Source organism: Homo sapiens, chromosome 17 (genome assembly GCF_000001405.40).
Source record: "Homo sapiens chromosome 17, GRCh38.p14 Primary Assembly".
NCBI classification, from domain to species: Eukaryota; Metazoa; Chordata; class Mammalia; order Primates; family Hominidae; genus Homo; species Homo sapiens.
The window spans coordinates 34,013,096-34,028,307 of NC_000017.11; the positions used below are offsets into that span (position 1 = coordinate 34,013,096).

A 15,212-nucleotide genomic window follows, 5' to 3' on the forward strand; every position below is an offset into this window, starting at 1 on the left:
TTGGATTTGATGGAATCAGATGTGCCTGGGAGCTCCAGGCAAAGAAAGGAAGGATAGACGGGGGCCAACTGGCAGTGGAATCCTGGGGTAACCAGAGGGAGAGTTTGTCAGAGGAGTCTCCATGTCAACAGGGAGCTGAGACGAGATGTTGTCCCTGGGGTTGGGTGGAGCACAGCATAGGAAGGGTGGGAAAGTGTGGGCCTGAGAGATCCAACTGGAACACAGACTGTAGAACTAGAATGCTCCGCCTCCCAGGCCCACCCCCTTCCAGGTCCTCTGCAAAGGTCTCTTCCTGGGGCAGCTCCTACAGTTCCTAACGGTCCCCTTTGCAATTTGCCATACATGCAATGGAGTCAATAAGACCCTTGAGGAGAGAGGTTGTGTCTGTTTTAACCATCCCTGCATTCCCAGTGCCTAGCATAGAAGATGCAGAATAAGGAGTTTATGAACAAATGAAAGGCTGTGCTGAGACAAGATGAGGGGCTTCAGGGCTAGGTGGCCAGGAAGAGAAGCCACTGAAGGCCTATTCCTTGCCAGTCACACCACATGGGTGCTGTTATGGAAGATGAGGAAACTGGGGCTCTGAGAGGGTAAGTCGCTTCTCCAGGCCACATTGCTAAAGGGTAGAGTCAGCATATGAAGAGGCTTCTGACTGGAGGGCCCAGGACTTCTCTTTACCTGGTTTCCTTGTCCTACCTTTACCCTCAGACATGTGCATGCACTCTCCAGGCAGGGGGCACCTGAATAATAGATCAGATGGCCTCTGCTTTCTTTACCCCGCAGCCCTCAGTGTGCCTGGCCCTGATAGATAAGGGGTATGGGATACATCGTGGACAGATGGACACCAGGCAGGTTCAAAGCAGGGAGTCTGCCAGTCTATCCGGCTAAGAGACCTTAGGATAGCCAGCACCCCAGAGGGGAGAGTCAACTTGGTAAAGGGAGTCTCCCCTTCCTTTTCTCCTCTCCTAGAGCTGCTCTTGGTTCATTACTGGACATGGTGATAGTTTGGGGGAGTAATAAAGGAAATTCCCATTTATTGGGTACTTACTATGTGCCAGGCACTATTCTCAGCTCTTTATGTGAATTAACTTACTTCATGATTTCAATAAACTAAATGAGGTAAGTAATGCTTTTAATCTGCTTCTACAGGAGAGGAAATCAAGGCACAGAGAGGTTAACTTGATGGTCACCCATAGCTACCATGTGGCAAGGCTCCAGATGTGAAACCAGGTGGTTTGGCCGGAGCCTGTGCTCTAACCATTATGCCACTCTTCCTCCCTCATCTGGCAGTAAGTTTCTGGGCTTTGCATTCAGTTTGGGGTGCCACCATCAGGAGCTCGAGACATTGGCTATGCTATGTAACCTCCCTGAGCAGAATGCAGGGAGTGGGTAAAGTAAGAAAGGGTGCCCTAAATATGAACTCCTTTTCTCAGGCTTTGGGTAGCTTCCAGGCCCCGTCCACAGACACCTAGGTGCAAGGCCCAGCCCTGCTCTGCTCTCAAACACCAAACGTGGCCACAGGCAGGCAGAAACCAAGCAGCTTCAGAACAGAAGCCTAGAACACCCTAGCTGCCAATCTGGTCCAGACCTTGAGGCCCACTTCTGAAAACTGAGCCCTTGAACCTCTGCTTCCTTATCTCTGAAATGGGGACATGGATAGCTCCCCATGCATGTTGCAAGGCTTAATGGGAACGATGCATATAGAATGCTTGGCATGTGTTAGGTACTCACTCACAATTAGTAGTTTCTTTTATCCCAGATCCCTCCGCCTTAATCCTCTTGGAAATAATATCGCTGCATTTTTTTTTTTTCTGAGTCTTGCTCTGTCACCCAGGCTGATGTGCAGTGGCACAATCACGGCTCACTGAATCCTCGACCTCACAGGCTCAAACAATCCTCCCACTTCAGACTTCCAAGTAGCTGGGACTACAGGTGTGCACCACCACACTTCGCTAATTTTTCTTTCTTCTGCCTTTTTTTTTTTTTTTTTTTTTGTAGATACGGGGCTTTGTTACATTGCCCAGGCTGGTCTCAAACTCCTGGGCTCAAGAGATCTATCTGCCTTGGCCTCCCCAAGTGCTGGGACTACAGGGACGAGCAACTATGCCTAGCCTATCCCCGCTCTTCATCTTTAAGTCTGGGGCTACAATTTGGGGTGACAGAAAGGCTCTTACTTCCAATGTGCAAGGGTAGAGACTCCAGTTTAAACCTCATCACAGTCCAGTTTCCCTGTAGTGGTCTTGGGCTGCCCTGTCAAGGTTTTAGTTCACAGCTGAATTCCACAGGAAATGCAAGGCTCCCACAGCTGAGAGCCTACCAGGGATTCCAGGCCAAAGAATGTTGAGTGTGATCCTGTTGGAGTGCCATCCGGCCAGGCCATGTATGGCTCATCTCAGCTTCATGAGGCCCAGGGGCGAGGCTCTGCTACAGAGCATCTGCTCTCCTATCTCAGAGGCTGCTGCCTCCTCCCTTCTCACAGGGATGTTGTGGAATTTTTTTACAATAAGCCCTCATCTTCATCATTTCAAAAATCTCATGTTCTGGAGAAATCAGCTACCCTATGATGGCCACAGAAGAGTACATGAATGAGAAAACTCTAATTCTATATTCCTTTCGTAATAAGATTTTCTTAGCATGTTTTAGGTTTGGACTTTGCCAACTCCTTTGGTCCTTGTGAAATAGTAAGACGTTTAGGTTAAACAAAATAAAAAACAAACAAACAAAACATTTTACTAGTTGTGTGACCTTGGGCAAATGCCCAACCTCTTAAGATTCAGTTTCTCTTTTTATAAAATGGGGAGATGACCAACTCACGTGCCTACCATGAGGCTCATATGGGATAATACATTTTAAGTATATAGAGCAGATGCTACAATGGTCACAAAACTCTTTTTATATTGGACTGTCAAAATAAATGTACCTCTCAAAACATAAAATGAACATGTCCTTTCGTCCAGAACATGCAAGCAATATCCATCGATATGTAAGCAAAAGTATAAGATGTGCTCATATGTATATTCAGGATTAGAAACAATGCAACTGCCCATGGCCAGGCACAGTGGCTCATGCCTGTAATCCCAGCACTTTGGGAGGCCGAGGCAGGTGGATCACCAGGTCAGGAGATCAAGACCATCCTGGATAACACGGTGAAACCCCGTCTTTACTAAAAACACAAAAAATTGGCCAGGCGCGGTGGTGGGCACCTGTAGTCACAGCTACTCGGGAGGCTGAGGCAGGAGAACGGCGTGAACCCGGGAGGCGGAGCTTGCAGTGAGCTGAGATCCCGCCACTACAATCCAGCCTGGACGAAAGAGCGAGACTCCGTCTCAAAAAAAAAAAAAAAAAAAAAAAAGAAACAATGCAACTGCCCATCATGAATCCATCTTTACAGCGCAACATTATGAAATAGGTCCCCAGATGATGGAAATGTGTTTGAGGTAAACAAATAGTGAAAATAAAACCCCACCAAAGTGCAAAACAGTATATTTAATACAGTTGCTATATATAAAAAAGGAGATGGTTATAGATATTGGCATAGCTATAGATATGCATGTGTGTGTGTAACCTATCTTTACTGGAAGGATCCAGAAGAAATTTTTAACAGTGTTTAACTTTGAAGAAATGGATTGGGGATCTAGGTGTGGAAGATGACTTTGACTTTCATTTTCTACCCTCCTGCAGTGTTTGGATATTTGTATCATGTTTATATGTTACTTTTAAACAATCGGAAGGATAGATCACAGATCAACAACAATTGTAAGTGCTTTTAAAAATTTACAAAGCCTAAGATATTCATCAGGATGCTTAACATTTTAGTTTATCAGAATAAAATGAAAACCTGAAATGTGCCTCATTATTTTGGTTATCTATTGCTGTGTTACCAACTACTTTAAAACACAGTGGCTTAAATAGCAATAGTTTCATCACAGGCATACCTTACTTTATTGCACCATGATTTAATACACTTCACAGATACTGTGTTTTTTACAAGTTAAAGGTTATGCATGGAGCAAGTCTATTAGCATCATTTGTCAAATAGCATGTGCTCACTTTGTGTTTCTGTCTCACATTTTGGGAATTCTCACAATATTTCAAACTTTTTCATTACCATTATATCTGTTATGGTGATCTGTGATCGGTGACCTTTGATGTTACTGATGTAATTGTTTGGGGGCATCATGAATCTCACTTATATAAGATGGCAAACTTAATCAATAAATGGTGTATGTGTTCTGACTGCTTAACCAACTAGTCATTCTCCTATCTCTTCCCCTTTCCCCTGGCCTCACTATTCCCTGACACCCAACAATATTGAAATTAGGCTAATTAAGAACCCTACAATGCTTTCTAAATATTCAAGTGAAAAGAAGAGCAACACATTTCTGACTTTAAATGAAAAGCTAGAAATGATTAAGCTTAGTGAGGAAGGCATGCTGAAAGCCAAAAAGGCCAAAAGCTAGTCCTCTTGCACCAAAAAGTTAGCCAAGTTGTGAATGCAAAGGAGAAGCTCTTGAAGGAAATTACAAGTGCTATTCCAGTGAACACACAAATGATAAGAAAGCAAAACAGCCTTGTTGCTGATATTCAGAAAGTTTTGGTGGTCTGGATAGAAAATCAAACCAGTAACAGCATTCCCTTAAGCCAAAGCCTAATCCAGAGCAAGGACCCAGTTCTCTTCAGTTCTATGACATCTGAGAGAGGTGAGAAAGCTGCAGAAGTAAAGTTTGAAGCTAGCAAAAGTTGGTTCATAAGATTTAGGAAAAGAAACCATCTCCTTGTATGTATCTTCACCTTGCATAAAAGTGCAAGGTGAAGCAGCAAATGCTGATGTGGAAGTTGTGGCTAGTTATTCAGAAGATCTAGCTAAAATAATTGACAAAGGTGACCACACTAAACAGTAGATTTTCTATGTAGATGGAACAGCCTTATATTGGAATAAGACACCATCTAGGACTTCCATAACCCAAAAGGAGAGGTCAATATCTGGCTTCAAAGCTTCAATGAACAGGCTGACTCTCTTGTTAGGCTCTGAATGCAGTCAGAGACTTTAAGTTGAAGCCAATGCTCATTTGATATCTGAAAATCCTAGGGCCCTTAATAATTATACTAAATCTACACTGTCTGTGCTCTATAAGTGGAACAACAAAGCCTGGATGTCAGTATATCTGTTTACAGCATGGTTTACTGAATATTTTAAGCACACTGTTGAGATCTACTGCACAAAAACAAATATTCCTGTAAAAATATTACTGCCATTGACAATGCATCTGGTGACCCAAGAGTTCTGATGAAGACGTACAAGGAGATTGATGTTTTCATGCCTGCTAACACAACAATCATTCTGCAGCCCATGAATCAAAGAGTAATTGTGACTTTCAATTATTATTATTTAAGAAATTCATTTCATGAGGCTATAGCTGCCACAGATAGTGATTAGTGATTCCTCTCATGAATTTGGGCAAAGTAAATTGAAAATCACCATTCTAGATATAATTAAGAACATCTGTGATTCATAGGAAGCAGTCAAAATGTTAATATTAACAGAGGTTTGGAAGAAGTTGATTCCAACCCTCATGGGTGACTGTGAGGGTTTCAAGACTTCAATGAGGAATGTAACTGCAGATGTGGTAGAAATAGCAAGAGAACTACATTTAGAAGTGGAGCTTGAAATGACATCTTTCTAAGGTTTAAGAAGAATCATAAAGTTACTTCACTGTAGTTCTCACATTGACTGAATTGCTGCAATCTCATGATATAATCTTAACAGATGAGGGGTTGTTTTTTATAGATGAGCAAATAAAGTGACTTCTTTTTGTTTGTTTTTTTTTTTGAGACGGAGTCTCGCTCTGTCACCCAGGCTGGAGTGCAGTGGCGCGATCTTGGCTCACTGCAAGCTCCACCTCCCAGGTTCATGCCATTCTCCTGCCTCAGCCTCCCGAGTAGCTGGGACTACAGGCGCCCGCCACCACGCCTGGCTAATTTTTTGTATTTTTTAGTAGAGACGGGGTTTCGCTGTGTTAGCCAGGATGGTCTTGATCTCCTGACCTCATGATCCGCCCTCCTTGGCCTCTCAAAGTGCGGGATTACAGGCTTGAGCCACCACGCCTGGCCAAAGTAGATTCTTGAGACAGAATCTACTCCTAGCAAAGACACTGTTGAAATGACAACAAAGGATTGAGAATATTCCATAAACTTAGTCAATAGAGTAGCAGCATGGTTTGAGAGGACTGACTCCAATTTTGAAAGAAGTACTACTGTGGGTAAAATGCAGTCAAACAGCATCGCATGCCACAAATAAATCTTTCATGAAAACAAGAGTCAATCACTGCAGCAAACTTCAGTGTTGTCTTATTTTAAGAAATCACCAAAGCCACTCCAACTTTCAGCAACTACCACCCTCCTCAGTCAGAAGCCATCAACACTGAGGCAAGACCCTCCACCAGCAAAAAGATTATAACTGGATGAAGGTTCAGATGATCATTAACATTTTTTAGCAATGAAGTATTTCTAATTAACGTATAAACATTGTTTTATTTAGAAGTAATGCAAATGCACATTTAATAGACTACAGTATAGTGTAACAATAACTTTTATATGCACTGAGGAACCAAGAAATTTCTGCGACTCACTTTATTGTGACATTTGCTTTATTGTGGTGGTCTGGAATCAAACCCACAATATCTCCAAAGTATGACTGTATTTGTCATGATTCTGAGAGCTGGCCAGATAGTTCTAACCTGAGCTTGCTCAAGTGGCTGCATTCAGCTCCAAGTTTTCTGAGGCCTGGGCTCAGCTGGGACACCTGGGCCTTTGTCTTCATGGTCTTTCATCTCAGACTTCTTTATGGTATGATCTCCAGGTTCCAAGAGAATAAAACAGAAGCTACAAGGACTCTTGAGGCCTAGACTCCGGAAGCATTACTCCTGCCACACGCTTTGGCCAAAGGAAGCCCCAAAGTGAGACTGGTCTCAGGGATAGGGAAAAATGCCTCATCTCTTGATATTTTTTGCAAAAAAATTGTGGCTACATTTAATCTACCACACTAATATTAACAGCATAATTGCAGTTTGCATGACCAAAGTCATTATTTTTATCAGTGTATTTTGCCCTGTTTTCCAGTATCTGGTGGTCCCTGGGCCATAGTAGACCTGGCTCAATAAATACGTGTTGAATGAATGAATAAATGGCTCCACTCCGCCTGGCAGCCTCTTTACTCTAACTGCCTTGACATCTCAGATCTTCAAATGTCATCAACTCCAGTTCAGCTAGCCCTTGAGGGCCACTGCCCCAGATCCAAGTTCAAGAGTATGGCTGAGTTGGGCTCTGGTGGGGAGATCATGGGAGGTAGTTTCCATAGAACTCATCACTGCTTGCTCTCCTTCCCAACCTAACTTCACATGAGATCTTGAAAGCAGGGAACTTTCTCTCTGAGTCAGACCTGTCGAGCAGAAGAAGTTAGAGAGATTTGAGTGATAGAGGAACTCAATGTACTGTTGTCAGAGGGAGTAATATAGAAAGCATGAGAAAAAACCAGAAGCCTCCAGGAGCAAAGCCCAGCTCCCAGCTGACAACCTCAAGAAAATGAGGACCTCAGTTCTACAACTGCAAGGAACTGAATTTGGCCAACAACCTAAAGGAGCTCAGAAACATTCTTTCCCAGGACCTCCAGGAAGGAATGCAGCCCCGCCCGCACCGTGATTTCAGCATCCTGAAACCCTTACTGGAGGAGCTGGTGGAGCTCATCCAGACTTCTGACCTACAGAAACTGAGATAACAAATGTGTATTGTTTTAAGTTGCTAAGTTTATGGTGATTGGTTATATAACAATAGAAAAGTAATACAATCACCATCACACTACCATCACCACTACCACCAAATTATTATCACCCAATACCATGACTGTCACTCCCACCCATTCCTGTCTCCATGTTCCTCACCAGTATCAAGACTACTGCCATCATAAGAATGATACGGTGGACTCTGGGGACTCGGGGAAAAGGCTGGGAGGGTGTCAAGGGATAAAAGACTACACATTGGGTACTGTGTACACTGCTTGGGTGACGGGTGCACCAAAATCTCAGAAATCAGCACTAAAGAACTTACTCATGTAACCAAACACCACCTGCTCTCTAGAAACCTATTGAAATAACAAACAAATTAAAAAAAAAAAATAGACTACTGCCATCACTCCCTACCACCATCACTCAGGGCCCTGCAATCTTGCATAAGTACTAGACTTCAATCTCTCTGGAAAAGTCTATATGGCCCCTGCCCTGGATCTGCCTCTAGCATTATCTGGCCGATACCTGCCTTGGACTCTTGCCCACCAGTTATCAGGTCTGGCCCCTCAACCTAATTCTCATCAGTTCCTTTTCCCTAGGGCAGGGCTCTGGAATCTCAGCCCCCAGGCCTGAGTTTAGTCTTGCCAGTGACTGGTCAGGTCTTTTGGAATCTACAGACCCAGTGTCCACCTGAGGGAGGAAACTCTTGTTCCCTTGAAGTTCCTGCTATTTCTGTCATCTCTCTCCCCCTTCCTCTAAACATGGATCAGATCCCTACAGAGTTAGCAGATGAGATCAGCGTTGAGTTTGCCACACCTTAGAGCAGAGATTCACAGTGTTAGGTCACATAGGGACATCTTAAAAATACTGATGCCCAGACCCAGTCTCAGAAATTATAACTCAACTGACCGGGGATGGAGCCAGGGGCTTTTTTTTGTTGTTGGTTTTGTGTTTTGTTTTGTTTTTTTTTTTTTTTTTTGAGACAGAGTCTAGCTCTGTCACCCGGGCTGGAGTGCAGTGGTGCAATCTCGGCTCACTGCAAACTCCACCTCCTGGGCTCACGCCATTCTCTTGTCTCAGCCTCCCGAGTAGCTGGGACTATAGGTGCCCGCCACCACGCCTGGCTAATTTTTTGTATTTTTAGTAGAGACGGGGTTTCACCATGTTAGCCAGGATGGTCTCGATCTCCTGACCTTGTGATCCGCCCACCTCGGCCTTCCAAAGTGGGGGGTTGGTATTTTTAAAAGTACTCCAGGTGATTTTTATGTGCAGCCAGGATTAAGCACCACTTCCCTGGGGCTTTATTACTAAGACTCCTCTCTACCTCTGGTCAGTTTCTGCTGTGCCTAACCCTAAACTGATTTTGATTGCTTTGTCTGCACTTGCAGTTCCCAGCATTCTGTCCAAGTTCACCCAAAACATTAATGACACCAGACTTGCTTCCTAATTCCCCTCTATCTCTGGCTGTTCCCAGGGTACGGTTTTGGACACAAATTTCCTGCACTTAGGTATCTCCTCCCATCCCACCTATACAACCTGCTCAGAGTTAACCTTTACTTATCCTACATAAAATATTACTAGGAAGTAAGATGGGCAATCACTGAGTATCCACCCTTGAAATTCTCTATATCTCTTAATAGCTACCACTTAATTAGTATCTGCTATGTGCCAAGAACTATGCTAGACACTTCAACTGTGTAACCCAAATATAATCTAGAGCTCCCACAGTCTGGTCTTCATGCAATTTCCCATGAAAAAAAAAAACAAAAAAAAAAACAAAAAAACAGCCCAGTAGCCAATAGAATATAAAAGCAATTGTGATTTTTACTGATCTTTTGGCATGAAGAAGTGGTTCATTAATAAGCCATAGCAACCCTTGTTAACTCTTCTTTTTACATTCCTCTTGCCCTCATAGCTTTCCTGCAGCTCCTCTGATATGATTTGAATTTGCGTCCAGGTCCAAATCTCATGTCAAATTGTAATCCCCAGTGTTGGAGGAGGGTCCTGGTGGGAGGTGACTGGATCATGGGGGCTCTTCTTATGATAGTGAGTGAGTTCTCATGATATCTGGTTGTTTAAAAGTGTGTGGCACCTCCCCTTTCTCTCTCTTATTCCTTCTCTGGCCACGTAAGACATGTCTGCTCCCCCTTTGCCTTCTGCCATGCTTGTAAGTTCCCTGAGGACTCATCCACCATGCTTCCTGTACAGCCTGTGGAACTGAGAGTCAATTAAACCTCTTTTCTTTATAAATTACCCAGTCTCATGTAGTTCTTTACACAATGTGAGAATGAACTAATACACCCTCTATTCATGCCCCAAATCAACTCCTCATCCCAAAGTTTATCTCCTAACTCACTGACCTTTCTCTTTCTTCTCCTCTTCCTTTCCTTCTGCTTCTATTTGTCTCTTTCCTAAGTAATTCTTGGCTCTTTAGGATACAAATCCCCATGATACTTTCTGCAGTTCTCTGTTTCTCTTTCTCTCTCTCTCTCTCTGTCACAAACACACACACACACACACACACACACACTTCAGATTTTGATTCTGAACTGCTGCAGAGGCTCACACACTGATCTGGCAGACTTTGCTATCATTTGAATGTGTCCCCTCCAAAATTCAGGCATTGCCAATGTGACAGTATTAAGAAGTGGGGCCTTTCAGAGTTGCTTTGTCCATGAGAGCCCCTCCCTCATGATGGAACTAAGGCCCTCGTAAAAGAGGCTTCACACAGCATTTGCCTCACTTGCCCTTCCACCTTCCTCACCATGTGAGGACCTCCGGAGGTGCAGCATCAAGGTGCCATCTTGGAAGCAGAGAGTAGCCCTCCCCAGGCAACTGAGTCTGCCAGAGCCTTGACTTTGGACCTCCCAGCCTCCAGAACTGTGAGAAATAAATTTCGGTTCTTTATAAATTACCCAGTCTCAGATATTTTGTTTTAGCTGCACAAAGGGTCTAAGACAGACTCCAAAGACAAGTTCTTTACTGGGTAAATGTGGGCAGATGGGGTCACAGTGGATGGAAGACTGCAAATACAATGTTTGTTATAACTTACTGTATCCCTATAACATACAGATCTAATCTCATTCAACCCTATGAGGCAGGTGTTACTACTCTCATTCCACAGATAAAGAAACTTTGACAGAGGGAAACTAATCAAGTCATGGAGGCAGGATTTGAACCCAGGCCTGTCTTACTCTTAACCTATAAATCAGCCAGCTCCTGAAAGGGCTTTATAGAGGGGCTCTTGAGAACCTGGACTCAGTGTATGAAGAGCTGGAAGCCACAAGTATAGACATCCAGCCAGATTGGGCTGCTCAGCACCCACTGGCTGTCTCTCTGACTTCCTGGAAGAGCTATCAAGACTCCCCTTACAGAAACAGCCTCTTCATGTTCCCAACAATGGCTCTTAATCTCAGCACTACTTAGAAACTAATGAGGCAGAAAGGGTTAATTTCAGATCCCCCAACACATGCACAAGTGGATCTTGGAGAATCCCTCTCTCTGTAGTTACAAGGAACCTGTTTTTCCCTTCTCTTTCTTCCTTTTAGGCAAACCATGCACTGGGCGGTGGCCCCAGGGGAAGGAAGGGTTTCCTGAAGCATGGTCACTGTCGATAGCATTAGCAACTTTGGGCTGTTTTCTTTCCATTTACTTTCCCTCCTGGCACTAAAACCTCATTAGAGCTCTGACAGAAGAGAAATGGCTGGAGTGGAGAAAGAAACTCTTGCATTTCCCAGAAATTCTGCTCTGGGTTTCCATTGCCTGTTTCCTAGCAGGCTGGACCGGCAGTGACCCCAAGAGACATGCTCAAAACCTGGCCAGCGTGGGGAGGGGTGCAGGGCAGGCCTGAGGCCCAACCAGACCCATTTAGTCCCTCTCCATCCTGCAGGAACTGGATTTCAGAGTCCATTTTTTTGTGGTTTAGGATCATGTACACCTGGATAGGACAGGGTTTACTTGAATCCTCTCTTGGAAGCCATAGTCTGCTGAGCAAATGAATGGTGTAAATGAGGCTGGGGAGTGGGGGAGTGTTTAACCTAATTAAGAGAAACTCTTTTCTCAAGCACTTTAGCACTTTCCCTTTGCACTGTGGAGAATGACTCACTGAATGCAGAGCTGGCCAACATGGGGCCTCTTGGAGGCCCCCAGTGGACAGCACTTTGTTGTCACTACAGAAGTCCCTGTGATCACATAAAGGAAGCAACACTGCTCAGGGGAAATCTCCTGATCACCTTGGCAGAGGCTGAGAGACCAGCTCCTAGACCCTGCTCTGCCTCAAGCAGATCTGAGGCTATTGCCTTGTTCCTTCTGAGCCCCTGAGTCTTTGTCTGGAAGGTATGAAAGCTAGAGAGATTTCTGAGATTCACTGCTGCCCTTGCTAACATTCAGTTTTTGTGGCATCATAGAACCTTTAAAGAATCAGATTAGTTCCATCAACATTTACTGAGCACTTGCTGTGTGCCAAAATGGTGCTGGGTGTCAGAGATACCCCTATACCTTAGAAAGTTGCACCCCCTCGTGGAGTGGACTGCTCAGTGTACACACTTGTTACCCTGAGTGAAGCACTTACACACAAAAGCACCCGACCTTGCATAAACATTCAGGAAGATCCTGGACCCACTAAGTCCCACCTAGCACCTCAGATGACCAATTCCTGGTTTAGATTACCTCAAAGGTTTTCTCAAAGGTTATAATGACTTATATTTCAGAAAAATGTGGTTTTTTTGCATTAAATTTTCCTTATTTCCCACTGTTAATTGTAAATAAGACAGCACAAAGCCAATGTAATAGCAGGTTAGGATCGGATTTTAGTTTTAGGTCTGACTTACTAATCCTTTAGCCATGGGGCCTTGAGCCAACCACTTAAACTCTCTAAGCCTCAGTTTCCTTATCAACAAAAGAGGGATAAAATACTGCCCTCATGCATCATGCATGTCAATAAAAGGTCATGAGAATCTAGTGAGACTACATATTCAAAAGGGCTTCTGAGAGTATAAAAATCAAGAATGATTATAAAATGCTGATGCTGTCCTTACCAGGATTGTGTCTTTATCATAGCAGCTGTGCAACTTTGTCTAAGAAGCTTCACATCTCAGGCTCCTTTTTCTCATCTGTGAAATGGGTATGGTGGGTTTAATCTCACAGAATTCAGAGGGCTGGAGATAGCCTACGCAAAGGTTAACTTTTAAGGGCTCAGTGCACTGAAAGGACTTACAGAACCTGCAACTGCTTGATGCTACGGTTGTGCAATTATTGGATTTGGAGTCTTGCAATAAGTTTGCTGGTATTTTTTGCAGAGACTGTGGAAAGCAGTCCTTCTTTCTCAGCCACCTTCACCCCTGGAATCTATGTCAAGGTGTGTATTCCCAACAGCAGTATGCCTGCCCTGAAGTCTTAATGAGAATGAGGAGCCCTGCAGCAGCTAGAAGGTGCAGCCGCTAGCCATGCATGAAGTTAATTTAGCTTCTGTAAATGTCTGGCGGCTTAGGTAGCAAGAGACAGGCCTGGCCTGCATAGATGATCCGTGCTCTGCCTTGGAAATGATGGAGGAGAAACAGCTCTCCCAAACCGATGAGTTTCATTCCTAAAGTGACTGCACCATAACCTGGGGAGACTGGGCTTGTTTTCATCTTAAGCTGAAAAGGTTTCCAAAAACAATCATTTCATTGTTTTTCTACTCACTGCTAACTCAATAAAAGTGGTTCTTTTAATTAATTTCATTGTTCCTCATTGTGCTGTTTTTGAACTAATAAAAACGTTCTTTCTGCTCTCTCCATGGCTCTTGCAGCCTCCAGCCATTTCCCAGCATTCATCAACTCCCCAAATGCCAAAGGTGGATGGGATGTCAGACCATTTAAGCCAATTCACCTCATTTTGCAGATGAGAAAACTGAGGCCCAGAGAGGGATAGTGACCTATTCAAGGCATACACTGAATTAGTGGCCAAGTTGGGATTCAAACCCACTTGGGAAAGGCTCGGCCATGCAGCTAACATCTGACAGTTTTTGCACAGACTGCGTTAGAACCTTTCAGCAACTCCTTTCTTTCTATTGATTTTTTCTCATAAAATCAAAGCAGTAGATAGTTGTAAAAAGAAAATTGGCCTCCAGATTTAACAAAATTACCCAGGAATGTGGCAATCCACACCAAATACCTGTTTAAAGAGAAAACAAAAACACTCCAATGAAATATTAGTAAGAATTCTGAAAATATTAACAATGCCTGATGCTAACAATGATAAAGTAAAAATAAGAAAGGTGATAAATGTAGTTCAATACCCCAAAAAAGTGGCAATTTAATAATCTGCTCACTGGGTTTCCCAAGTTCCTTCCACTGGCAAAGATGTATTCCTTGGAGAACTAGGAATCAGCAGAGTTTACCCCCACCTGAAAATATCTCAGTACCTCCAAGTTTCCACCTGAAAGAGTTATTTGAAGCATTCTCTACTTTTGCAATCATTTAAGTTCGCTGACATCTTTCTAAATATCCTTCCTGGTTACACGGCCATGGGCTTTTATGTCATCACGGGTCAGACTTGTGTTAAGGAGGGATGCTGCCCCCCTATAACCATTTAGTTGCCACCTCTTTGAAAAAAAAATCCTGATTTCTAGAGTCACAAGTTATCTTTTGCTCCCCAAACCAACCTGAGCACTTTATTCAAAACTCTCTAGAGGCCCTAAGAAGTAGTTGCATACTATTTCAGTTCAGATACAACTTCTTTTGTACACTGCTAGTTCCCTTAGGACTGAGGCCGAGCCTGATTTCTGCTTAAAGGGGATGACAGAAAAAGTGTAGGATCTAGAGATAGAAGTCATGAGTTTGAGCCCTAGCTCTGTCGTTAGCACACCCTCCATTGTCACTGATGTGTCTGTGTCTTTATCATCCCTCTCCTACACTGCAAGGCAAGAATCATCTTCCTCTCACTCACTGCTATATCTCTAGGACCTAGAACGGTGCTTTATTCCTAGCAGGCTCACAGTAGGTTTTTATTGATTGGATTTTTGAAAGGAGGTACAGATTTGGGCCATGACATTGTGTCAGATCTTTACCTATGAAGTGGGAATAACGATATGCATTATTTTATATCCACAAGACCATTCAATCTTACAGACAGCCCAGGGCAGCAGGTATTGTTATCATATTCCACATATATGAGGAAAATGAGGTTCAGAGGTGAGTTTTCACAGCTTGAAAAGAATGGAGCAGAATATAGTACGTAGGTAATCAATACCAAATTTGGTGTACCTGTAGATGTTATCTTTCAAAATGGAAGAAAGCCCCCATGATACAATCCATTGCCCCCCAGCCTTAGAAGCAGAGATATTTTAGTTTGTGAGAGCTCCATTAGGTATGGAAATGCATAACCCACTTCACCTCCATGGAGGTCGGTGCTGGACCCCAGTCCTGCTCATTAGGAGGAACAAAGAGTTCT

At 43.6% G+C, this 15,212-nt stretch overlaps 1 protein-coding gene and 1 long non-coding RNA gene across 2 annotated transcripts in view; both read right to left on the reverse strand.

Annotated features, from left to right (window-relative positions):
* Positions 1-15,212, reverse strand: part of ASIC2 (acid sensing ion channel subunit 2) — a 1,143,682-nt gene that overhangs the window by 1,000,009 nt on the left and 128,461 nt on the right. The window lies entirely within an intron of this gene.
* Positions 6,630-15,212, reverse strand: part of LOC107987247 (uncharacterized) — a 51,173-nt gene continuing 42,590 nt past the window's right edge. Inside the window, exon 5 of the long non-coding RNA XR_002958159.2 lies at positions 6,630-7,438. This is a non-coding gene — a long non-coding RNA (uncharacterized LOC107987247). The remainder of the gene's footprint in view (positions 7,439-15,212) is intronic.